At 36.2% G+C, this 26,807-nt stretch overlaps 1 protein-coding gene across 11 annotated transcripts in view, besides 3 other annotated features; it reads right to left on the bottom strand.

Moving 5' to 3' along the window:
• The window catches only part of EFCAB13 (EF-hand calcium binding domain 13), a 117,358-nt gene that overhangs the window by 90,146 nt on the left and 405 nt on the right, over positions 1–26,807 (bottom strand). For 5 of the 11 annotated variants that reach the window (NM_001426586.1, NM_001195192.2, NM_001426588.1 and 2 more), the window contains exons 2-8: positions 26,644–26,713; positions 24,780–24,941; positions 22,784–22,898; positions 15,811–15,971; positions 9,135–9,246; positions 6,875–7,005; positions 6,069–6,151 (exon numbers count right to left, since the gene is read on the bottom strand). In NM_001426586.1, coding sequence (NP_001413515.1) covers positions 6,069–6,151; positions 6,875–7,005; positions 9,135–9,246; positions 15,811–15,971; positions 22,784–22,813 — 517 coding nt within the window. In that variant the 5' untranslated portion in view covers positions 22,814–22,898; positions 24,780–24,941; positions 26,644–26,713. Of the gene's footprint in view, positions 1–1,838; positions 6,152–6,874; positions 7,006–9,134; positions 9,247–15,810; positions 15,972–22,783; positions 22,899–24,779; positions 24,942–26,643; positions 26,714–26,807 lie in introns of those variants that run through there. The other 6 variants (NM_152347.5, NM_001426587.1, NM_001426592.1 and 3 more) reach the window with 4 other exon arrangements.
• Positions 11,379–11,880: an enhancer, noted in NCBI's record as "OCT4-NANOG hESC enhancer chr17:45416653-45417154 (GRCh37/hg19 assembly coordinates)". NCBI's record gives its function as "activates a minimal SCP1, AML or CMV promoter by ChIP-STARR-seq in primed H9 embryonic stem cells {active_cell/tissue: H9 hESC(primed)}" and the evidence as "EXISTENCE:reporter gene assay evidence [ECO:0000049][PMID:30033119]".
• Positions 26,424–26,603: an enhancer, noted in NCBI's record as "active region_12311". NCBI's record gives its function as "activates an Ori minimal core promoter by ATAC-STARR-seq in GM12878 lymphoblastoid cells {active_cell/tissue: GM12878}" and the evidence as "EXISTENCE:reporter gene assay evidence [ECO:0000049][PMID:35858748]".
• Positions 26,644–26,733: an enhancer, noted in NCBI's record as "active region_12310". NCBI's record gives its function as "activates an Ori minimal core promoter by ATAC-STARR-seq in GM12878 lymphoblastoid cells {active_cell/tissue: GM12878}" and the evidence as "EXISTENCE:reporter gene assay evidence [ECO:0000049][PMID:35858748]".

Here is a 26,807-nt window from a genome sequence, read left to right as displayed (position 1 = left end):
AAAGCCATTTATAGGTAGGAGCCAAATTTATAGGTGGGAGCCAAATGTGTACACATGGACATAGAGCATGAAATAATAGTTACTGGAGACTTGGAAGTGTGGGAAGGGGGTGAAGGATGAAAAATTACTTAATAAGTAAAATATATAACTATTCGAATAATGGTTACACTAAAAGCCAGACTTTACCAGGATGCAATATATCTTGTAACAAAACTGCATTTGCACCCCTTAAATTTATACAAATAAAAAATAAAATTATATAATTCCAAGGACCGAGCATAAGAACTTGATATCGCCTAATGGAGGAAGAGAAGAATTGCTAACATCAGGTCATGAACACCACAGATTTCATGTTTTTGGAGGTACTGTTTCTACCATTAATACGAATACCCTTTCCAACCACTTTATTTATAATGTATAGGTAATGTAAACTAAAGGTTACTAGGAGACCCATAAGTATCTGAAATTTTTAGGAAGAGATACAAACAAGACTCCTGGCAAAAGGAAGAAAGTACTGTTAAGGATGAAGAAGAAAACAGATGAGAGATTTCAACAGAAAAAAAAACACACACACACACACAAACAAAGGCGTGGGAGTAATAATTATATTGGCATGTATGGAGATTTATGACTAACGAGTATGTGGTTCTTGCCTGGGAAAGGTTCTGTGATAAAGGTAAGAGTGGTGAACAAAATTATGAAGGGGTGAGGAGGCTAAGCATGAGAGTTTGGCCTCTATAGATTCATTTGATAATAGGAAGAGCATCTAAATTCTTGAGCAGGAAAATGACATGGTGAAAATAGTATTTTAAGAGAATTAGTCTAGCAGTTAATGTGCAGGAAAACTAGAGATCAGAGATAGAATGTTTGAATATTGGGGCAGTATAATCCAGGTTTTGTAATGCCTTTTATGACAAAATTCACTCCTCATTTTTCTCAGCCCACACTAGTGGGAGATTTGTAAAATATAAATTAATTCATATATAAAATACCACCCCTCCCAACCCCAAAATCAGTTACAAAAGTATTATCTTCTATACTTTTGAAGAAGTCTTTTTTACCTGGATTCTGAGAGACCAAATAAGAAACATCAGGCCGGGCACGGTGGCTCACACCTGTAATCCCAGCACTTTGGGAGGCCGAGGCGGGTGGATCATGAGGTCAAGAGATCGAGACCATCCTGGCTAACAAGGTGAAACCCCGTCTCTACTAAAAATACAAAAAATTAGCCAGGCGCGGTGGCGGGCACCTGTAGTCCCAGCTACTCGGGAGGCTGAGGCAGGAGAATGGCGTGAACCCGGGAAGCGGAGCTTGCAGTGAGCCGAGATTGCGCCACTGCAGTCCGCAGTCCAGCCTGGGCGACAGAGCGAGACTCCGTCTCAAAAAAAAAAAAAAAAAAAAAAAAAAGAAACATCAGCCACAGCTTTAAGGAAATTTGAAAAATCCAGCATTCCATTAACTATAAAAATGGTTCCAAAACAGAAGTGAAAAAAACTCCATCAGCAAACATTATTAGCAAACTCACTAAGAACATAAGATAAAAGTGGCAACTAAAAATGTAAATAGAATTAACTAATGACATTAGAATACTATTATCTATACACAGAGCAGTCGACATTATATATAGAATGTAAAAAGAATATTTACCAGAAAAAAATTTACATATTGTAATTAGGTAGTAAATAGTGTTCCAGCAGTAATAAGAATGCTATGGGACTAGTACTGTAGATACTGCAGTGCTCTTTGCTCAAGACTAATTTTTATATTTGTAGTTCTTCAAGATTCTTCAAGTTAAATAACTATGAATTCATCTTCTCCTGTCATTAAATAAACGAGCCCAACTTTGACAGGGTTTATTTACATCAGTGATGTTATCTATGTCACGAAGAAAACAAGTATAAATCTATATTTCAATTTAATGTCATCTGAGCAGAAATAGCCTATAGAGGAATACTTCAGTGCTTCCAATTGTCTGCAGAGGAAATGACAAGGCTTGGTTGTTCTCACTTCCATACCACAGAAGCACTTTCTCCAATACTGAAAAGTCTATCAAGTTGTCTGTCTCCACTTCTTCAGTGTAACAACTTGAGAGTGGGTTCTCCTTTCTTTCAAAAACAGTGAAACATCTGTCCAAATTTTAATGAACTACTTTGACTTGTTTTCTGATATTGTTGTGACTTTGGGTTGGCAAAGATCTTTTAGATAAGATATCAAAAGCAATTCATGAAAGAAAAAATTGCAGACTGGACTTCATCAAAAGTATGAATTTTTCCTTTTCTAAAAACATTCTTAAGAGAATAAAAAGACAAGCAACAGAATGGAATAAAATATCTACGAATCACATATCCAATAAAGGACTTATATTCAGAATATATAAAGAATCTCAAAATACAATAAGAACACAATTTTTCAATGGGCAAAAAATATACAAATGGCAAACAAGCACATGAAAAGATATTCAACATTATTTAATCATTCAGGAAATGCAAATTAAAACCACAATCAGATAATAACCGTATATCTATTAGAACAACCATAATTTTTAAAGGCGATCAATTCAAGGGTGGCAAGAGCAAGAGCATACAAAAAAAGCAGTATACAACAATATGAATAAATCTTAGTCATATAATATTAAGGGAAAAAAACAAAAGATTATATACATAATGAAAAACTGTTTACTAAAGTTTTTTAAACAACTAAAATTTTTGAACTATTTTACAAAAATACCTATCCATAACAATAATACTATTTAAACAGAAAAATAAGAGAATAATGAATATAGGATTCAAGGTAATTCTTACCTCAGGTTGGGGAAAACAGAATAATAGGTTGCTTAGGAAAGTTTACAGTTGGATGTAAATTATTGACAAGGTCCTACTTTTTATTTTGGGTGGTTGGGTCAAGTATTTATTACATTATTTAAATTACGTAACTAAATAAGATTAGACCATGCGTGGAACAATAATGAGAATATGCCATAATCCAGTCTAGTAATTAATCAATCCAATTACATAAACCTGAGGCCAATTTTCAATATCATTATTGTAAGTAATGTTCTTGTAACATGTAAAAATGTTTTGTAACATACAATATGACCAAAAATGATGTTTTTACAATATATTTTAAGGTTTAGCTTTCCTATCATTTGTAATTAATCTGACAAACATATTTATGATTGCAGACCCTTAAACTAATACTGAAAAGATAAAACTTACCATCAATATCAACAGTCTTTAGTGCCTGTCGCATTTCTAAATCACTTATAGAAATTCTCAAGATGCAAAGGATCACTGGAAGATCATTCACATAAATCTTACCACTTCGAATTTTACTAAAAATTTTACAGGCTTTATGAAGTGCTGCACACACATAACAAAACATTTAGTTAGTTAATCAAAAAGAATAATTATCCTTATTCCCCCCACTCTCAAAAAAATAATAATCACTAAAAAGGGAGCCAATCTGTGTTTTCAGCCTTTCAAACTTGTTTCTTTTTTACCCCACCCTCTTCAATCTTTTAATATTCAAATCTTTCAACCTGTTTCCTAAAGAACTTTCAGAAACTGTCAGACAAGTCACACAAGGGCACATAGGCAAAGGCTTCCACAACTTGCCCTAGGAATGGTAAATTTTTCCTCTGTGTTCCCATAGCACTTACTATGTATCTCAGTGAAAGCCCTTGGTATTATGATTGCTTGCATGTCAATATCCCTCACTAAACTGTCAGCTTCTATGGAGCAAGATTTTTTCATTCTTCTGTTTCTAGTGCCTAATTAAGAAATTCTCAAAAAAATGTCTATTGAACTGAATTTTTTGGTTCAGTGGATACTACACTTTATTTTCAGAAAAGAGGCAATTGATGATAGTGCTATTTTTGTTTGTCTTTTTAGAGCCAGAGTTTCTCTGTTGCTCAGGCTGGAATGCAGTAGTGCAATCATGGCTCACTGCAGTCTCAAACTCCTGTCGCGAAATCCTGGGCTTAAACAATCCTCCTACCTCAGCCTCTCCAGTAGCTAGGACTACAGCTGTGTGCCAACATGCCCAACTAATTTTTTGTTTTTGTTATTTTTTGTAGAGATGGGATCTCACTATATTGCCCAGGCTGGTCTTGAACTCCTAGTCTCAAATGATCCTCCCACATTGGCCTTCCGCAGTGCTGGGAATACAGGCATGAGCCACCTCACCTAGCCCTAACAGTGATAAATACAAAATAATGACTAAAGAGTTGATAATAATGGCTTTAATAAAATAAGTTTTAGTAGAATTTTGGAGGTGGAAGCCAGATTTCCATGAAATGGGAAGTGAGAAAATTCAGCAACTAATGAAAACAACTCCTTCAAAAGGCTTCTCTGAAAAAATATTGAGTATAAAATTAGCAAAGCATAGGCCTTGAGAAAGCAGAAGAAAATCAAGAAATGAAAGGATTAGTCTGGTGAAAGGGCACCTTTTCCAATGAGACAAGATGAAAGGATATGAATGTTGTTTGTAGGTAAGAATATCAAGGAGTTTAGGAAGCTTCCCAACAGCCCTTACTAACTCTCTATGAAAAAGCAAAGCCACATGATCCAGTAATCCCACTTCTGGGTATTTATCCAAAAGAATTAAAACCAGGATTTTGAAGAGACAGTAGTACTCCCCTGTTCACTGCAGTACTATTCACAATAGCCAACCTATGGAAAACAATCTAAATATCTGTGGAAACAACCTAAATGTCAGATAAATGGGGGGGGGGGTAAAGTACGTTATATACATATGACAGAATATCAATCAGCCTTTAAAAAGAAGAAAATCCTGTAATATGTAATAACATGAATGAATATGAAGGACATTATGCTAAGTGAAATAAGCCAGTTACAGAAGGACAAATACTACAGAATTCCAATTATATAAAGCATCTAAAATAGTCAAACTTATGGAACAAAGAATAGAATTGTAGTTGCCTGGAGCAGGGGGTATGAGGAAATAGTGAGTTGCTAATCAGTGAGTATAAAATTTCAGTTACACAAGATGAATAAGTTCTATAGAAATACTGTACAATATTGTGCCTATAGATAAGAATAACTTACATTTTTAAAATCTGTTAAGAGGGTAGATCTCATGTTAAATATTTTTACCACAATAAAATTTTTTTCAAAAGAAATAGGGGAGAAAAGATTCAGTTTCATAGATTTCAGACTAGCAAGTTTTAATTTTATTTTAATTAAGTAAAACATTTTTAAATGTTTAAAGTTGGATAGGTGACATAATTGAGTATTTGAGGAGAGTAGTGAAGGTTTGGAATAGATACCAAAGGAAACAGGAGAGATCACACCAAAACTTAAAGGGAATACCAACTGGTGCTAAGGGCAGCTGAGGTTGGAAATCATACAATCATAGTGGCACCAAATGGAGAGGTCAAGGAAATAAAATTCTAAATAAAAAGAGCTGGAAGTATAAGAGATTGTGAGTGAAGAATAAGACGTTGACGTCTGAGATTTTCACATAATGACAATGTGTAATTTGTGGCCATCAGTGTTGGTCAGGAGAATCAAGGTAAAATTATTGGTTTTGAACGTGTGAAGCTCCAGAAGTATGAGTCACCCATTTGGACACTAAGATACACAATATGACAACCAGAGTTAAGGTAAAAGGAAAACTATGTGAAATTATTCCATAAGTATAAAGGAGAAACCCAAGATACGGGAGAGGTCAGTGTCATGAAGGAGTGAAGGGTAGTATAAGCCTTAATACTAAGATACCAAAGACTAAATTCCAGTGATATCAGTGACTCCAGCACTTACTAATTTATCCATGGGATGTAATATGCAGACATTTTTCCAAAAAATACATTTGAACTAGTATAAGCTACATATTATATTTTCCCTATCTTACCAATACAACCAAAGATATTTATGGATTAAACTATCTACTTTTGCTTCCTCACAGCCCGCAGCATTTGCCATACCATGTATTATCAGTTGATACCATAAGCCATTAGGAGTAGATGAAGAGGCACTAACTGCTGAAACAATTCCTAAAAAGCACATAACCAGGAAATGTATTCAAGAAATTTTAGAACCTCTTATTACCACTTAATTCTTTTGAGTGTAAATATCCATGGGTTACTTCATCATATAATGTCATGTAGAGGTTAGACAGCATTTCCTTTTCCCTGTCAAAGAAACAGCCATATTAGAAAGTGGCAATGAAAATATGCAAATTCCATTTTAAAATATTAGCAAACTTACCAATAGTCTGAGATTCATAAGAACCTTTCTTGAAGAACTGTCCAAGTTATGGAAAATTCCATATTCTTCACTTCAGAAGTCTCACCTTATTTCTTTTCGAGATATTTTTCTATAAAGCAGAATTCACCCTAGTCTGCAAATAGTGCCCATGACCTACTATCCTTCGACTGTGGTCCAATTTTTCCTATTCTTAATCCAAGTCACAGCAAATTTTTAAGAAAGTTATTATAATAAAGCAAACAAGAACATCTTTAAACAGCCAAAGAATCTCAGATTCCATCACCTATCAGGAAAAATGTCTGGAAAAGATGATTTATCTAATACTATAACATGTAAATTGCTGAAATCATATAATGTTAGTGTTGGAAGACATCTTAAGAGTTCATTTAGTACAAGATCCTTATACAGATGTGGAAAGTGATGCCCAGAGATGTAAATTTTACAAAAGTCTAAGCATGTTAGGTCAATCGGACTCAAATCTAAGTCTTCCAATTCCATATACAGTGCTCTTATCTCTACACAATCCTAACAGCATAATTAGCATAAACTACTTCATATTCTTTATGTGGAAGGGATAAATGATTCTGGAGAGAAACACCCAAGTCTGAACCCAACATTTAAAAAATAGAGTACAAGGATTTAAATACCGAGTAATTGCAGAAGATGTACAAAGAGGTGATGAAGTCTTGTGAACGCTGTACTGATTCGGCAACTTGCATAAAGAGTTTTCTTTCCTTGTCACCTTCTCCTTTGACAGCTTCAGAAAAGGAGGGATAATCTAGAGCCAAATGCAAGTATGTTGGTGCCTGAGGTGAGTGACACTGGTAATTCAGCATTCTTGGATGATACAACTCTTAAAAGATAATTAATCATACCTTGGCTCCTCATTAATTATGCTTCTGGTGTAAAATTGCCTTTTGTAATTAAATTACATTTAATATAAACTAAAATTTTAATAAACTATGCAATGTTCTCTTGCAAAGCCATGGTTTTCTTAAGTATGCAGTTAATCATGTCATTAATACTTGGTAACTATATAGTAATGGGTTTTACAAAGCAGGGAAAACCTATGGTATAGAGAGAACAAGAAGACTCAGCCACCAGACTCTAGGCTACATATAAAGGCTTTGACTTAAGTGCAATGTGGAGAATCAACACAGTTATTCAAATGATACAGGTAATTTTGTTTTCGATTATCCCTATCATTGAGTAAATTATCCACTTAAGATTGCATGTATAAACATGATTCCAAAAAGGCAAGCACTAGGTGGATAGGAAAGTAGCACTTTAGAAAAATAAGAATTCTAATTACAGGTGTCTTCACTTTTACATGGAACCCTGAGCATTGAGTTTTAATGACCATGCAAGATGTGGAAAAAAGACTCTCACGTTACACAAGATTGACAGGAATTGGTACTGAGATGCCATACGGAACCAAAATCTTCAAAAGACAATGTTTTCAGCAAGAGTGGGGAAGGAAAAAACTTATTCCCCAGTGAAAAAGTATGATTAAAACATGTCTCTATCCCAGCTCCAGGTTAGAAAAAAAGAAAGACTATTCCTCCTGATTAGTCATAATCATAACTCTACATACATGAGTTTGGAACTCAAATCTACACTAAATATATGGGCCAGGGAAACAGAAACCAAAAAATTCATTTAAAATGACCTCAGATTTGTAACACTTCTGAAGTGCATGGCAAAGACAAAAGCAAATTTTCTTTTTAAAAATTCTCTTGAAGAAGGGCAAACTGAAGATTCCCACAGATTTAGATCAACTATATATGAAAGAATGTACAAAATATATATAACACCCAAAGAACAAGTTAACATGAGTGAGAATCAGACAAAACAACAAACACAACATTTAGATCCCCCAAGAATTTCATACAGTGAATTGATCAGATACCAATCTTGAAATAACTATAGAATATGAGCAAAAAACATGACACAGGGCATATTTTAAGAACCATCAAATAAAATTTCTGGAGGTAAAAAATAGAATCACTGAAATTAAAATCTCAGAGGAAAGGTTAAACTGTAGATTAGATTCAGCTAGATAAAGAATAAGTGAACTAGAAAGTAGATGGGGAGAAATTACAAAGAACAAAATAGAGAGACAGAATAGACAAAAAATATGAAGCAATATTAAAGAATATAGAAAACAGGATGACAAAATCTAATACACATCTAACAGAAGATACAAAGGGACAGTAAAGAGATTGAAAGAGGGGAAATATCTAAAAGATAACATATTAGAATTTTCCAGAATTGAAGAAAGGCATGCATTCTCAGATTTAAGAAGCACAGCAAATACTAAGACAGAGGGGAAAAAAGGATATATACCTCTAAGTATATCATAGTGAGTGACTACACAAAAAGATATTCCATGTTCTAATATCTGAAACCTGTGAATGTCACCTTATTTGGAGAAAATGTATTTGCAGATGTAATCAAGTTAAGATCTTGAAATGAAATATACAATGACAGACGTGCTTGTAAGAGAAAGGAAGGAGATGAGATACAGACACAGGAAAAGAGGCCATGTGAAGACTCATGGGAAGATGGAGGCAGAGATTGGAGTTATGCTGCCACAAACCAAAGAACACCTAGGGTTCCTGTTAAAAAAGCAAAAATGTTAGCAGAGAGCACAGTAAAAAAGACAAAAAATAAGTTTAATAGGGAAAAAACACAAATTTTTCATAAATTCCTGAAAAGATTCCTTGTTCTATTTTTTTTTTAAGGAGAAGAAAAAGGAGAATTAAGAACAGAAGAGGAGAAGCAAGACCAGGTAGTGATATTTAAGACTGTGACATTTCAACACTTGGACTAAAAAATTTAAGGGAATGTTTGAGGGCTAAGGAAAATATTTGAAGGTAAAAGAAAAATTTCCAAATCTTTATTTACCTCAGTTCTTTTACTGTGCTGTTGTACTTGTAAACTCTTTCTCCCAACTTTTTTTTCTCCTGAAAAATCAGAGGACTTTTCTTCTCCACAAAAGATTATTGATGTTTCAAATCTAAATGACACAGAAATTGGAATCATTCTTGAATTTCTTTTTACTTATTCTTTTCAACTTTTAATTATGGAAATTTTCTAACATATACAAAAGTATACAGAATCCCATCACCCAGTTTCAACAGTGGTCAATCCTATTCCATCTATATCCCATCCCTGTTCCCATCCCTTATTATTTTTGAAATAAATCACAGTATATTATTTCCATCTGTAAAGATTTTAATAGAAATCTCTACAAGGTGTCTTTTTTTGTAGAGATTGGGCTGGGTACGGAGGTGCACACCTGTAATCCCAGAACTTTGGGAGGCCAAGGTGGGCAGATTGCTTGAGGTCAGAAGTTCAAGACGAGCCTGGCAAACATGGTGAAAAACCCCATCTCTACTAAAAATACCAAAAAAATAGACAGACGTTGTGACACATGCCTGTAGTCCCAGCTACTCAGGAGGCTGAGGCATAAAATCGCTTGAACCTGGGAAGTGAGCTGAGATTGAGCCACTGCACTCCAGCCTGGGTGACACAGCAAGACTCCATCTCAAAAACAAAACAAAACAAAAAACACCATATGACAGCTAAAAATTAACAATTTCTTAATATCATCAAATATACAGGCACCATTCACATTTCCAGTTGTCTCGTAAATGTCATAAAATTTTTTAACATTTTGCATCAGGACTCAATAAAATCCCAGCATCATAATTGACTGAAATGTCTTTTTAACTTCTTTTCATCTATAAGTTCTCCTTCTATACCTTTTATTATCATTATAATTATTATTACTAGGTCATTCATCCTGTAGATTTTCCACAGTCAGGATTTTCCTGATTGTATCACCACGGTTGTAGGATTCTAGAGGCTTGAACATATTAACATTCAATAGTTGAGGGAGATGCAAAACCACTCTCTAGGTGGTGACGTTATTCCATCAGGAAGCACATAATGTCCAATTGGCTATTTGTGGTATTAGCAGCTACTTATACATAATAGATCCAGTAAATCATGAGAGACTGGCTGGGTATGGTAGCTCATGCCTGTAATCACAGCACTTTGGGAAGCCAAGGTGGGCAAATCACCTGAGGTTGGGAGTTCGGGACTAGCCTGGACAATATGATGAAACCCCGTCTCTACTAAAAAAAAAAAAAAAAAAAAAAAAAAAAATTAGCCAGGTGTGGTGGTGCACGCCTGTAGTTCCAGCTACTCAGGAGGCTGAGGCAGGAGAATTGCTTGAACCTGGGAGGCAGAGGTTGCGAGCCAAGATCGCATCACTGCACTCCAGCCTGGGTGACAGGGCAAGACTCTGTCTCAAAAATAAATAAATAAAAATAAAAATAAAAAATCATGAGAGACTGCAAAGTGGTTATATTATAAATCTATCATTCCTTCAATCATTAGCTAGAATATTTCTTTTTTTGTATGTGTAGAGATGGAATCTTGCTAAGTTGCCCAGACTGGAGTACAGTGACTATTCACAGGTGTGATTATAATAGACACTACAGTTTCAAACTCCCAGGCTCAAGTGATTGCCCCACCTCAGCCTCCTGAGTACTGAATTATAGGCACACACCACAATGCCTGGCTGCTAGAATATTTCTACAAATAGACACTTTCTCTCATGTACTATTGGGTTGCCTAGTGGTACCAGTTCATATAGAAAGGCAAGATATAGACAGATTCAACTGACTTTAAAAAAAAAAAAGAACAAGAAAGAAAGAAAGGTAAGATAATTGCTCTATTGTTTTCCTTTATTTACCACTTTTCATAACAAAGACTTGGCTCACTTATAACCTCTAAAAATGACAAAATAATTTTATACCATTTTGAACGCATAGACTTAAATATATTTGATGCAGTTTAATTCCCTGAAATTATTATACTTATTGATGCTCTAATTTTCTCATCTTTTATAGGAAAAGGTGGGAGACTCTTCCAGTAGGCTCTTGAGTCCTTCTGATGAATCCCTGATAGTAGTCTTTTTTATTAATAGTTTCCTTATCTCCGGAAGACAAGATGTTCCAGGCTTACTTTACATTTCCTTTCACAGACATGCAATCAGCATTTCTCTAAACAGCCTTTTAATAAGAAATGGTATTTCAAGATTAAAGTTTGGGCACTAGAAGCTGAACTTCTTTTTAATCAACATTCTTCTTTCTTATTGTTTGGTTTTCTCTTATTTCTCCTTTTTCCTCTTCTTATTGGACTGTCAAAAACCTTTTTTTTTTTTTTTTGAGATGGAGTCTCACTCTGTTGCCCAGGCTAAAAGCACAGTGGTACGATCTCAAGACCTTTCATAACATAAACATTCCACAAACCAGGGGTCCCCAAACTCTGGCCCATGAACCAAAACTCGTCTGCACAGTAGGAGGTAAGTGGCTGGCGAGTAAGCATTACCACCTGAGCTCCACCTCCTGTCAGATCAGCAGCGGCATTAGATTCTCATAGGGACACAAATCCTATTGTGAACTGTGCATGCAAGGGATCTAGGTTTTGCCTCCTTATGAGAAACTAATGCCTGATGATCTTCTGAGGTGGAACAGTTTCATCCAGAAACCACCCCTGCCTCCTCCCCATCCCCTCGTCCATGGAAAAATTATCTCCCATTAAACTGGTCCCTAGTGCCAAAAAGTCTGGAGACCACTGCCATAAACTACACAACAATAAGATAAAATGTAATTATGAATTACATTTGAATTAAATTTTAGAAGAGAAGACACATACTCTTAGAAAGTGCTTCAAGTAATCTAGGGTAGACTTAAATTTCAAGAACAACCCATCAGGACAGTGACTAACTAGATTATATCTACAACAGCTTCAGGTGAACTCAGCCCTAAGCAAAACTGTGACATAAAAAAATATATTATAATTCATGCCACTCCCTTTCTTTAGCAAGTACCTTGGCCTTTTTTTCCAATTTTATTTATTTATTTTATTTTAAATTGATAGACAAAATTATATATATTTATTGTTTCTTAAATTTATTTTTAATTGACAAATAAAATTGTATGTATTTATGGTGTACCCTGCTCTTTTTTACTGACTTATTTCTCCAAGAAAAAGTATCTTGCTTTTTTGACACACTATCCCTTTAAATCCAATCTCCCAAATTCATACCCTGTGAACCCCCATACTTTGCTCTTCACTTCCCTGAAGCTGCCATATGATTAGATCCCTCTGCAGTCCTCTAGTCTCAAAGCAAGGACTTTCAACTATTTTGCCTATGACCCACAGTCAAAAGTAAATTTTCTATTGAGGTACAATATACATATACAGAGATAAGAGGTGCAATAGAAAGCAAGGGAGAGAGAGGAGGAGGAAAAAGCACTCTAATGTTTTCAATTCTATTCTAACTTATTTATTTAAAAAAAAAAACTAGTAGTAAACCAGCTGCAGTGGCTCTCACCTGTAATCCCAGCACTTTGGGAGGCCAAAGTGGCAGGACTGCTTCAGGCCAGGAGTTCAAGACCAGCCTGGGCAATATAGTGAGACCTCACCTCTCCAAAAAATTTAAAAATTAGCCAGGCGTGGTGGTGCACACCTGCAATCCTAGCTACTCAGGAGTCTGAGGTAGGAGAATCCCTTAAGCCCAGGAGTTCCAGGCTGCGATGAGCTACGATCATGCCACTGCACTCCAGCCAGGGTGGTAGAGTAAACTCCTGACTCAAGAAAGAAAAAAAAAAAAAAAAACTAGTAGTGACCTCCTAACCTGATTTCATGACCCATTACCCATTAATGAGTCACAACCTGCAGTTTACTGGTGCTTTATATCCCCCATATATCCTTATTGAAGTTGAGCCTTCTTATTTCTAATATAATCATGACTTCCACTCCATTACATGACTTTTGATCTTTCATCTTTTTTCAAAAAATGATAAAGAAAATAAATTTTTAATCTGATGAATGCAAGACCTCTTTAAATTATCAGGCCCAAAGAGGCATTAAAATGAGATAGGAGTCACTGTCTCACATCCCCTTGAGCTAAGCAATTATTTCAAAGTTGCCTGCTATGTGGACTCTAGACTGTCACCAAGTAGCCACAAATTAACCTAACAATGCCATACACTGGATACTATAACTCATACGCTACAGTTCAGCAATATATAGCCAATCACTAATCAATGTTATTTCTGTAAGCCAGTAAGAATTCCTGAAAAACAACTTTTGTAATCAACCCATCTCCTGATTGGTTCCTTTTTTCTTTAAAATATTGAACCTCTCCTTTGTTCTTCAGAGTACCTCCCAGTGTTTCCCAGGCTGCAGTCCTCAACCTGGGCCTAAACAAACTCTCTACTTATATTAATTTTGCCTCAGTTTCCTTATTTAGGTAAACAAAAGTGTATTTTTTAATTATGAGCTACTTCACACATTTCATAGAATAAGGATGATTTGGTATAAATAATGAATAAGTAAAAACATTTGTCCTGTACCCCATTTTTAAATTTTTTTTATTTTTATATATTTAGAGGGTACAAGTGCAGATTTCTTACATGCACATAGGCATTGTGGTGAGTTTAGGCTTTCAGTGTACCCATCACCAAATTCAACCCTCACCCCTCCTCCTACATTTGTAGTCCCAATGTCTATTATTCTACTCTGTATGTCCATGTGTATGAATTGTTTAGCTCCCACTTACAAGGGAAAACATGCACTGTACCCCATTCTTTTGAGGCATGTGCTTCCCACAGTGCTAACCTATCTTGAAGAAAGCTAATGGAAGAAGGTAAAGGGATGCTCCCACGACCTTCCTTTTCTTCCTAACCTCCCACGACCTTCCTTTTCTTCCTAGGTAACAAGTTTTATTGTAGTCTTCTAGAAATAATTGCTTCATCTTTTGCCATCTAACAAACAGGAGTAGTGGTGAAAATGTTAGATTAAATAAAAGTGAAATACAGATTTCTGGAAGGTAGAGGAGATTTTTATTTAGGTGCCTCTCCAATCACAATGTGTAGGTAATTTCCAGTTTCACCAACAGGTAAGATGAGCATTTAGTTAAAGATAAAGTGACATAAGCTCTGAATGTTTTCCCAGAGGCTTTTAGATTTTTTTTTATTTTTTAGTCATTTTATAAATAATAAATACAGATTGAGTATTTCTCCTACATGCATTTAAAATGCTAGAACTTCTACGACTAACAAAAGGCAACCAGGCAATGCAGTATACAAGAAAGAACTGCTAAAAGATTCAAATAGCTTGGTCGGGTGCAGTGGCTCACGCTTGTAATCCCAGCACTTTGGGAGGCTCAGGCGGGCAGATCATGAGGTCAGGAGTTCAAGACCAGCCTAGCCAATATGGTGAAATCCCGTCTCTACTAAAAATACAAAAAAAAAAAAAAAAAAAATTGGCCAGGTGCGGTGGCTCACGCCTATAATCCCAGCACTTTGGGAGGCAGAAGCAGGCGGATCATGAGGTCAGGAGATCGAGACCATCATGGCTAACATGGTGAAACCCCATCTCTACTAAAAATACAAAAAATTAGCCATGCATGGTGGTGGTCGCCTATAATCCCAGCTACTTGGGAGGCTGAGGCAGGAGAATGGCTTGAACCCAGGAGGCGCAGCTTGCAGTGAGCCAAGATCGTGCCACTACACTCCAGCCTGGGCAACACAGCGAGACTCCATTTCAAAAAAAAAAAAAAAAATAGCCGAGTGTGACGGCGCACGCCTGTAGTCCCAGCTACTCAGGAGGCTGAGGCAGAAGAATCACTTGAACCCAGGAGGTGGAGGTTGCAGTGAGCCATGGCTGCGCCACTGCACTCCAGCCTGGGTGACAGAGTGAGGCTCCATCTCAAAAAAAAAAAAAAACTATTCAAATATCTTAATTTCATGGAAGACACAAAGCCAAGCCTAGAGGAAAGAACCTTCTGTTTCCTTCTTAAATTCTCTTTAAGACAAACTTAACAGACATATGGATAACTGTTCTCCTCTAACTAGAATCCTATGATTCCAGTTAGCTTATAGCTTACTTATAGGCTTCCACATGTGATATAGTTTGACTCTGTGTCCCTACCTAAATCTCATGTTGAATTGTAATCCCCAATATTGGGGGAGAGACCTGGTAGGAAGTGATTGGATCATGGGGGCAGATTTCCCACTTGTTGTTCTCATGATACTGAGTGAGTTCTCATGAGATCTGTTTGTTTAAAAGTATGTGGCACTTCCCTCTTCACTCTCCCTCCTGCTGGCCTTGTGAAGATATGCTTGCTCCCCCTTCCCCTTCCACCATGATTCTAAGTTTCCTGAGGCTTCCCCAGCCTCGCTTCCTGTAAAGTCTGCAGAACCATGAGCAATTAAACCTCTTTTATTTATAAATTACGTAGTCTCAAGTAGTTCTTTATAACAATGTGAGAACCAACTTAGACAACATGGAAGCCTATAGATGGCTGTGAGAGAAGTCAGAAAAAATGTAAGAACAGCTATTTAGGAGTTAAAATTATGCTACTGAAAGAATGACCACAAATATGCATGATCCTATACACATGGTACATTATGAGAACGCATAAGCCACAGCTACATTTTGGCATTCTTAACTTGCAAAAGTATAATTCAATAAAGTAAGTTCAGAGTTTTTAACTTACATTTTTTTATATTCTGGGCTCAAACTCCTAATTTCCGGTGAAATTTCCTTCTCTATTGTTTTAGAAAACTTGATGTATTTCTTGTGGTTAATAGTTCCTGATGACAAGTCAGTTGCAAAAGAATTAGAGCCATCATCTAATAAGTCAATATTTTCCTCTGCCTGGGGAATATAAGAGCCACAATCAAGCATGTCCTCTTTGCACATACATATTAAATATGACATTCTGGGTCAATCATTCATTTTAGATTGATATTCTTTCTCAAATAGTGCTACCGAAGAGAATTTTGTTGAAAAAGGTTTTACTCACTAATGTATTATTTTTCCAGATTCAGTACATACTCTAAATAACTCCAATTATCCTTAGTGCATTATACAGCTATAAAAGAACATCATTTATGAATATGTCTAACAGTTATTGCATCTAGCACTTTTTCTTTTTTTGAGACAGGGTCTCTTTTTGTTGCCTAGGGTGGAGTCCGTGGTGCAATCATGGCTCACTGCAGCCTTGACCTCCCAGGCTCAAGCAATTCTCCCACCTCAGCCTCCTGAGAAGCTGAGACCACAGACATGCACCATCATGCGTGGCTAATTTTTTATTATTCGTAGAGACGAGGTCTCCCTACATTGCCAAGGCTGGTCTCGAACTTCTGAGCTCAAGCAGTCCTCCCACCTCAGCCTCCCAAAGTGCTAGAATTACAGGCATGAGCTACCTCTCCCAGCCTGGATCTAGCTCTTAAGGCATCAAGGTACAAAAGTTTATCATACTCTTTGCCAAGAAAGATACAAAAGTTTATCATACTCTTTGCAAAGCAGTATTTTTATTATAAACATTAACTCGATTTTAGATACAAACTAAAGCCATGATCCATGAAAGAAATAATCGATAAGTTAAACTTCATTTAAAGCTTCTGCTCTGTGAAAGACACCATATCAAGACAATGAAAGGACAAGTCACAGACTGGGAGAAAATGTTTTCAAAAGACATATTTTATAAAGAACTGTCATCCAAAATATACAAAGAACTCTTAAAACATAATAAAAAAGAACTCAATTTTAAAATGAGCTAAAGACTTGAACAGACACCTCACCAAAGAAGATACACAGAAACATGGTAAATAATGATATGAAAAGAGGCTCAACATTATAATGGGATTAGGGAACTGCAAATTAAAAGGAAATACCATCATTACATACCTGTTAGAATGATGAAATTTTAACAAAAAAAAAACTATAAAACTTTGATAAAGGAAACTGAAGAAGACACAAATAAATGAGAAAATAGCCCAAGTTCATGGATTCAAAAAATTAATATTGTTTAAATGTCCATACTTTCCAATGATATCTACAGATTCAATGCAATTCCTCTCAAAATTCCGATGTCATTTTTCACAGAAATAAAAAAATCCTAACATTCATATGGAAACAGTAAACACCCCATATAGCCAAAGCAATCTTAAGCAAAAAGAACAAAGTTGGAGGCATCACACTTCCTAATTTCAAAACAGATGATAAAGCTATAGTAATCAAAACAGAATGTTACTGGCATAACCAATCAATAGGACACACCAATCAATAGGACAGGATAGGAAGCCTAGAAATTTTCCAAATATTTACAGTCAGCTGATTTTCAACAAAGGTGCCAAGTACACACAATGGGGAAAGAACAGTCTCTTCAATAAATGGCATTGGGAAAACTGGATATCCTTCTGCAGAAAAATGAAATTGGGACATTATCTCACACCATATACAAAAATCAATTTAAAATGCATTAAAGATTTAAACACAAGACCTAAAACTGTAAAGTTACAAGAAGATAGGGGAAAAGCTCTACCACATTGGTCTGGGGAATGATTTGTTGGATAAGACTCTATAAGCACAGGCAACAAAAGCAAAAATGGAAAATGGGATTATATGAAACTAAAAAGCTTCTGTACAGCAAGGGAAACAATCAACAGGTGAGAAACAACCCACAGAAAGGGAGAAAATATTTGCAAACCTTACATCTGTTAAGGCGATAAAGGATTTATACCCAAATTACATAAGGAACTCAACTCAAGCAAGAAAACAAACTATCCAATCAAAAAATGTGTGAAGGATCTGAACAGACATTCTCAAAAGAAGACATACGAATGGCCTATAGGTTTGTGAAAAAATGCTCAATATCACTAATTATTAGGGAAATGCAAAATAAAATTGCAATGAGATATCATCTCACACTATTCTGTTAGATATTCTGTTAGCTATTCTGTTAGAACAGCTATTATCAAAAAGACAAAGGATAACAAGTGTTGGCAAGGATGTGGAGAAAAGGGAACATCTGCACACTGTTGGTATGAATGTTAGTACAGCCATTCCAGAAAACAGTATGGAGGTTCCTCAAAAACTAAAAACAGAATTACCGTGTGATCCAGCAATCCCACTTCTGGGTATATATCCAAAGGAATTGAAATTAATATGTTGAAGAGATATCTGCACTCCCATATTCATTTCAGCATTATTCACAATAGCCAAGATATAAAAGTAACCTAAGTGTCCATCAACAGATGAATACATAAAGAAAATGTGGTGAATATATACAAATGAATACCATACAGCCTTTAAAAAGAAGGAAACTGTCATTCACGATAACATGGATAGAACTGGAAGACACTATGCTAAGTAAAATAAGCCAGGCACAGAAAGACAAACACTGTATGATCTCACTTACATGTGAAATCTAAAAATGTTGTTCTCATAGAAACAGGGAGTAGAAAGATGGTTATCAGAGGCTGGGGGGTGGAGAGGTTTGGGGGAGGAAGAGGGATGGGGAATGGGAAGACATTGATCAAAGGGCACAGAGTTTCAGTTAGACTGGAGGAACAAGTTTTAGTGATCTAATGCATTGGTGAACATGGTTAGTAAATAATATATACTTCAAAATCACTAAAATTTTTTTATGTTCTTACCACAAAAAAAGTTGGTAATGATTATGCTAATAGCTAGATTAAATATTTCTATAATGTATACATAGATCAAAATACTACATTATGCCCCCAAAATACACACAATTATTATTTGTCAATCTAAAATAATAATAAAAAACTCAATTAAGAAAAAAGAATGGCAATAACCCAAAACACTGACAACAACAAATGCTGGCAAGGATGTGAAGCAAGAACTCTCATCATTGCTGATGGGAATGCAAAATGGTACAACCACTTTGGAATACAGTTTGGCAGTTTCTTACAAAACTAAACATACTTTTACCATACAATCCAACTATTGCACTTGTTAGTATTTACTCTAACAAGTTGAAACTTTATTTCCACATAAAAACCTACAATTGGATGTTTATAGCAGCTGTACTCATAATTGCCAAAACTTGAAAGCAATCAAGATGTCCTTCAGTAATTAATAAATAAACTGTGCTAAATGTAGAGAATGGGATATTATTTAGTGCTAAAAAGAAGTGAGCTATCAAGCCTTGAAAATACATTTAAAAACTTTAAATGCACATTAAGTGAAAAAAGCCCGACCTGAATGGTTCCATATTGTATAATTCCAACTATATGACATTCTGGAAAAGGCAAAACTATGGAGACAGTAAAAAATCAGTGTTTGCCAGGGGATGGGGGAAGGAGAAGTAAATAGCTAGAGCACAGAAGATTTTAGGGCAATGTGATTATTCTGTATGATACTATAATGTTGACTATATGTCATAATACATTTGTTCAAACCCATAGAATGTACAACAAAAGTGAACTCTAATGTAAACTATGGACTTTGAGTGATAATGATGTGCCAATGTTGGTTCACCAATTACAACAAATGTACCACTCTGGTACAGGATGTTGATAGCAGGGTAAGCTGTGCATGTATAGGGGCAGTAGGTATATGGTAACTCTCTATTTTCTGCTCATTTTTTTTATGAACCTAAAACTGCTCTAAAAAAAAGTCTACATATTTAAGACCTGAAACCATAAAAATTCTAGAAGACTACCTAGGAAAAACTCTTCTGGACACTGGCTTAGGCAAAGAATTTATGACTATGACCCCAAGAGCAAATGTAACAAAAACAAAAATAAATAAATGAGACCTAATTAAATTCAGAAGCTCTTACACAGCAAAAATAATAATCAACACAGTAAACAGACAACCAACAGAATGAGAGAAAATATTTGCAAACTATACATCCAACAAAGGACTAATATCCAGAATTTACAAGGAATTCAAACAAATCAGCAGCAAAAAAACAAGTACTCCCATTAAAAAGTGGGAAAATAACATGAACAGATATTTCTCAAAAGAAGATATACAAATGGTCAACAAATACATGAAAAATGCTCAACATCACCAATCACCAGGGAAATACAAATTAAAACCACAATAAGATATCACCTTACCCCAGCCAGAATGGCCATTATTAAAAAGTCAAAAAACAATAAATGTTGGTGCAGATGGGATGATGTAAATTAGTATAATTTCCACAGAAAACAGTATGGAGATTTCTCAAAGAAATAAAGGTAGATCTATCGTTCAATCCAGCAAACCCACTACTGGGTATCTACCCAAAGGGAAAAAAAAGTTGTTGTATCAAAAAAAAAACCTACACATATATGTTTATCTCAGCACAATTCACAATACCAAAGGTATGGAACCAACCTAAGTACCCATCAACTGATGAGAGGTTAAAGAAAATGTGGTATATATACTACGGAATACTACTCACCCATAAAAAAGAACAAAATAATGTCTTTTGCAGCAACTTGGATGAAACTGGAGGCCATTATCCTAAGTGAAGTAACTCAGGAACAAAAAAACCAAATACCACATATTCTCATTTATAAATGGGAGCTAAGCTATGGATCCAAAAAGGCATATGGAGTGGTAGAGATTCAGAAGTGGAGAGGGGACAGGGAAGTGAAGGATGAAAAACTACCTGTTGGGTACAATGTATACTATTCAGGTAACAGGTACACTAAAAGCCCAGACTTCACCACTGTATAATTCAGCCATGTAACCAAAAACCACTTGTACCCCTGAAGCTACTGAAATAAAAAATATTAAATAAATAAATATCTTTCTCTACAAAAAATAAAATAACAAAAAACAAAGCCTATATTTAAAAAAAAAGAAGCTATATTGCTTCTAAATAGACACCACTCCCCACCCCCCCAAAAAGAAATAGAGTTTAGTGACAATAAACGTTTAGAAATAGAAGAATGCAGTTGGAAATATTCTCTCCTGAAATCTGGCTGTTTGCTTAAGACAACTGGCGGCATCCAGTCGATCAAAGGTGCATTAGTCCTGAGTCTTTGAACCCAAAGGTGACCATGAAGATTACACAGACAATTTATAAAGATTACCAAGGAAGTTTAGAGAGAATCTCTGTTTCCACAGGATGGAAATTAACAGAACTATTTCAGTGACTTTTAGAATCTGCATCATTTGTCTTATAACAAAGGCATACCTTTAAGTTGTTTCAAAAAGGCAATTTGATTTGCTGCCTTGATGAGATGTGTATTACAAATGATGAAAGGATTCCTAAAGAGATTGAAAAAAATGACCCAAAATAGAAAGCTGAGGGGGAAAAGGGGTAGGAAATCTAAAAAGACAGAAAAACCTGTTACCAAAGGCCAAGTGAATGAAAACAAAGAGTAGAAGCTTTTGACACAGAAGAAGAAAACAATCTCAGAAACATTGTAGTAAAAGGTGAGCCATCTGTGAAGTATAAATTATACAGTCTAAGGAAAACAAACCGGTATGATACTTTAATATTAATTTTTAAGAATTCATCTTCAAAATCAGTTTATAAGGGCAAAATCAACAAAGTAGTAGGTATAAAAAGGTAAATTTTAAATGTATATATGTGTATATATATGATATAAAGTACATATCTCAGCACTTTTCAAGAGTCTCTGAGATTATTTTTCAGACTATAGTATAGGTACATGTTTTACACAGTAGCGTCAGATCTTTAACAAGGATAAATTTAAAAGATTAGGACTCTCAATTGACAATGCTGAATTTCACTTGAGCCCTAAACTCCCAGAAAACAGTGAGGGTTAAAGGAATCCCCCCACCCTTTTGTGTTCTGGAAAATGGCTTACTGCAAACCACTCCTCCCCATATGACTTAGGTAAGACTCTGGAATGCCCCCCTTGTTTACTTATGACAATGCCAGACACACCCCCTCAAAATTCCCTTTCTTTGCGTCATAAATTATTAGCTGTTTTATCCCCACTGATAATCAGAATATAATAGACTGACTTCATGATAAAATACTCTCCAATCTACTTATCTAATCATTCTACTATTTCATCCAATTTCCCCATACCTGGTTCTTTCCAGCGTCTCTCTATAAAAGAAAACTTCTGCCCAACCCTTGAGACACCTACAGATCTTACGGTCACAGCATTCTTTCCATTGCAATAGTCCTCCTCCTCTTCCAATTTCAATAGTCCCTTTTTTCTCTTGCAATAATTATTTTGAATAAAGTCTCTGCTTACTAAGTCCAGATTTGTTTTTATTTGAAAAAACTTGTCTTATTTGACACAATACTAGCAAAAAAAGGTGGAGGCATCTAAAAAGACAGAAGGGCATAAAACTCTGAAGTACAGATAAGAGGGCTAAAGAAATTTGATGTCCTCTACATTATTTTTTGGTTATACTCTCACATCATTAATTACATTATCTACAACCTCTCATGTAAGTTTAACCCTTTTGATCTCCACAAAAATTATCCAGGTCCGTACCCCACCAAAATACTCTCATCATACACCACAGAAGATCTCTCAGTATTATATGGGTTGTAGGGATGGGAGTTCAATACATGTTCACTAAAATGACTCAAACATCATCTCAGTTACTTGGCCAGGTTCCTTATAACTATTACTCTATGAATTTGCTTACTGATTATGAATATGAGGTAATGTAAACTAATTTTAAAAAGAAGAAAGAAGAAATCTTTAGAAACTGTTTTAAATAAATACCTGGCAGAATAAATGTACTTTAGTTTCCATCTTTCTGTTTAGAGGTAAATTCTGTCCTTAAGGACTCCAGGCTTTGATGAACAAGTATGAATGAGCAATAGTACAAAAGGATTTCCTGCCAAAAAAAGAGAAAGAAGAAATCATACGCTTGTTTAGAACACTTAAGCAATTATATTTACCTACCTGAAGTTATCTCTTCAATGTAACACTGACTTGGGGTATGATACACAACATTTCACCAACACAGATATGTGGGCAAACACTAGAAAAAGCAGTTAGTAGACTATAAATCACAGATCATCCAATTCCTTAACTTTACCTTTTGTGGTTTGAGAAATCCAGTTTCAAATGGCATACAAAGCTGAGAAATCCAATTACATCTGTTTATTTAAATAAACCCTGAGAAGCAGAACTGCTAAGACAGTAGTAATCACTCATGTTACTGAATGCTTACTGTGTGCTAAATATCATGATAAAGACTTGAAGAGGTCAAGTTTCCCAAGATCACACAGCCAGCAAATAGTAGAGACAGAATTTGAATTCAGACAATTTAACTCCAAGCCTGTGGTCTTCAGTCCCATAGAACATTGCCTTTCAAAACAATGCTACTGCAAACAAAAGATGGTGTAGGCCGGGCGCAGTGGTTCACGTCTGTAATCCCAGCACTATGGGAGGCCGAGGTGGGCGGATCATGAGGTCAAGAGATTGAGACCATCCTGGTCAATATGGTGAAACCCCGTATCTACTAAAAATACAAATCAATTAGTTGGACGTGGTGGCATGCGCCTATAATCCCAGATACTCAGGAGGCTGAGGCAGAATCGCTTGAATCTGGGAGGCGGAGATTGCAGTGAGCCAAGATCGCACCACTGCACTCCAGCCTGGGATATACAGTGAGACTGTCTCAAAAATAAAAAAAAAGGCCAGGTATGGTGACTCACATCTGTAATCCCAGCACTTTGAGAGGCCAAGGCAGGTGGATCACGAGGTCAGGAGTTCAAGACCAGCCTGGCCAAGATGATGAAACCCCGTCTCTACTGAAAATACAAAAATTAGCCGAGTGTGGTGGCACGCACCTATAATCCCAGCTACTCAGGAGGCTGAGGCAAAGAACTGCTTGAACCCAGGAGGCAGAGGTTGCAGTGGGCCAAGACCACGCCACTGCACTCCAACCTGGGTGCAAGACTCTGTATCAAAAAAAACAAAACAAAAGAAAACAAAACAAAATAAAGAAAGAAAAGATGGTGTAGCCTCACTTCAAACTCAAGACTTTCACATTATGCAAATGTGATAACCAACACTTAGAAATTCCTCAAATTTTCATATTTTCAACTCACATCTGAGTTACATTTTATGAGCTATTTATCACAGTGCTAGCTATATTACATTATATTACATTGCTAGTTATAATCATCAGTCTTTTTCTTGTAAAGTTTAACTGCAAGTATTAATATTCTAATGAAGACAGAGTACTTAAAATCATTTTTATTTATTTCTGACATATGTTTATAGTCATTATTTTTCAATGTGATATGTCCAACATTCCTGGAATTCAAAATATGTTAAAATAAAATAGAACCACATTGAAAATACTCATCTCAGAAAATACTGGAAATCTATGCAGGTCTCCCCAGTAACCCATCCTACGTAATCTCTTCTAGATCTTCTCCAACCAGTTCAATATTTACCTCTAAACTACTGTGCATAGCACTTACTGCCTTCACTATTCTTGTCTTCACTATTTAACTGACATTAATCATTTGCCTTGTATTTGTATTTTTCATATGTATAGCTCCTATACCAACTATAGCCTAAATTTATAAAGAACTGGGACTGGTAACTTATCATTCTTAAAATTATTTCTCACAGTATCAAATACAATGGTATATATATAATGAAGGAAAGAGTAGAGGAAAGGAGGAATGGTATGGAGGGAGGGGAAAAGAGAGGGAGAGAGGGATGAATGAACAAATTCCCTTCCTACTAAGCTACTCACCAAGATTTCTTAAATCATCAAAGTGCTTAATTAAGCAGAGTTGACACGTTTTGAATAAATCTTGAAAGGAACAATTGTTCTGTAATTTATTGACGAGATTATCAAAAAGTTGGCAGGTCTTAATTTGCTGGATGAATCAGGTACCGCATAAGCCTCTCCAAACTTAAAAGAAAAAATTAACTTAGAAAGTCTATTCCCTGTAACTCTGACAATATAATTTTTCTCAACTATTTCAATCCTGTCTTCTATCGGTGAACTTGCAGGAACAAATCAAGAGAAATGGAGGGAGTCGTATCCCTTTTCTCCAGTCATCTATCCATTCACCTTTCTATCCATGAATTCAACGTATATGTCTGCATGCTTAGTGTGCACTAGGTTCTCTCCTAGGCTCTAGGGATATACCAATGAACAAAATATATATATGCTATATATATATATATATATATATATATATATATATATATTTTGTTTATATATATATAAAATCTGCCCTCATGAAGCTTATGTTCTAGTCAGGGAGTGAAATAATAAAATAGAAAAATAAAACATATTGTATGTTATCTGCAATAAGTACAAAAAAAAAAGTAAAGCAGGGAGGGGAATATGAAATGTAGTATAGGGGAAGAGATGCAGGGAACAGAATGGGTGGCCAAGGAAGACCTTACTGAGAGGGAGACTTTTGAGTACAGACCTGCAAGAACTGAAGTAGGGAGCTGATTAATATCTTAGGGAAGAGCATTTCAGCCAGAAAGAAAAGTAAGTACAAAAGCCCCGAGGCAAGAAGAATGTTCAAGGAATAGTGGGAAGGCCCCAGGAGGCTGAAGCAGGAGAGATCAGAGAGGCTAAGTGAAAGTGGCATATCATGGAGGACCCCTAGATGACAGTAAGAACTGTGGCTTGTACTCTGAAGGAGTGACAAGCATTGAAAGAGTTCTGAGGAGAAGGATTACATAATCTGAAGTTCTTTCTGAAAGGATCACTCTGGTTACTGTGAGGAGGGAAATCAGGTAGGTCTGGGTTCCTGAATGCCAAGTGAAGAAAGTACTTCAAGAGTGAGCAATCAGGCTGTGCATGGTGGCTTATGCAGGTAATCCCAACACTTTGATGCGGGGGTGGGGGTCTAAGCAGGAGGGCTGCTTAAGGCCAGGAGTTCAAGACCAGCCTGGGCAACAGTGAAACTCCCACCTCTACAGAATTTTTTTTTTAATCAGCTGGACATGGCGACCTTAGTCCCAGCTACTCCAAAGACTGAGCCAGGAGGATCTTTTGAGCCCAGGAGTTTGAAGCTGCAGTGGGCTATGATTGCACCACTGCACTCCAGCCTGGACGACAGAGACCTTGTCTCAAAAAAAAAAAAGGGGGGTGGGGTGGGCGGTTAAGATCAGTACTGAATGGTTCGCTAGGTTTCACAACACGGAGGACACTGACAAACTTGAAAGGAGCCATCTGGGTGGGGTGGTAAGGAGACAATGTCGTCAGAGTGAGTACAAGAGAGAACGGGGTAAAGAAATTGAACCCAGCCAGTAGGGTAGGCTCTTTCAAGGAGTTACGTTGTTAAGAGAAATAAGGCAGTAGCTGAGAGGAAAATGGGGCTGTGAGGCTTTAAGATGAGAAAAACAAAGGCGTCTTCACTGAAGCATGACTCTGTATGACATCCTTTCACAAAATACCTTCCTCTTTCCTCTCATGCCACATTTCCCTCACAAGCCGCCCGACTCGCTCGCTTTTCTCTCGCCAGAGGGACTGAAAACGTCATTAATACCAACTGCATACACAACTCCATTGCAGCTACTGCCATTCATGAACGTTCAAACTTTCGTCACCCTGTTTTCATATTTGTGTAACAAACGTCGAGTGAACGAACCTCCACCTCTTCCAAGAACCCACGCTGAGGAGGCTTCCCATAGACCCTGCTCTTACGAAGCCAACGACTTCTACAGGAAGAAAGAGGACCTGTAAGCTAGCGAGTGAACGACCCGCAAGATGGAAATGAGTGTGCTAATAGAGGTCTCCGCCTCCCGCTGAAGG

Source organism: Homo sapiens, chromosome 17 (assembly GCF_000001405.40).
Source record: "Homo sapiens chromosome 17, GRCh38.p14 Primary Assembly".
Lineage (NCBI taxonomy): Eukaryota > Metazoa > Chordata > Mammalia > Primates > Hominidae > Homo > Homo sapiens.
The sequence above is the reverse complement of the archived record's forward strand: the minus strand, read 5'-3'. Positions and strand labels throughout refer to the sequence as shown.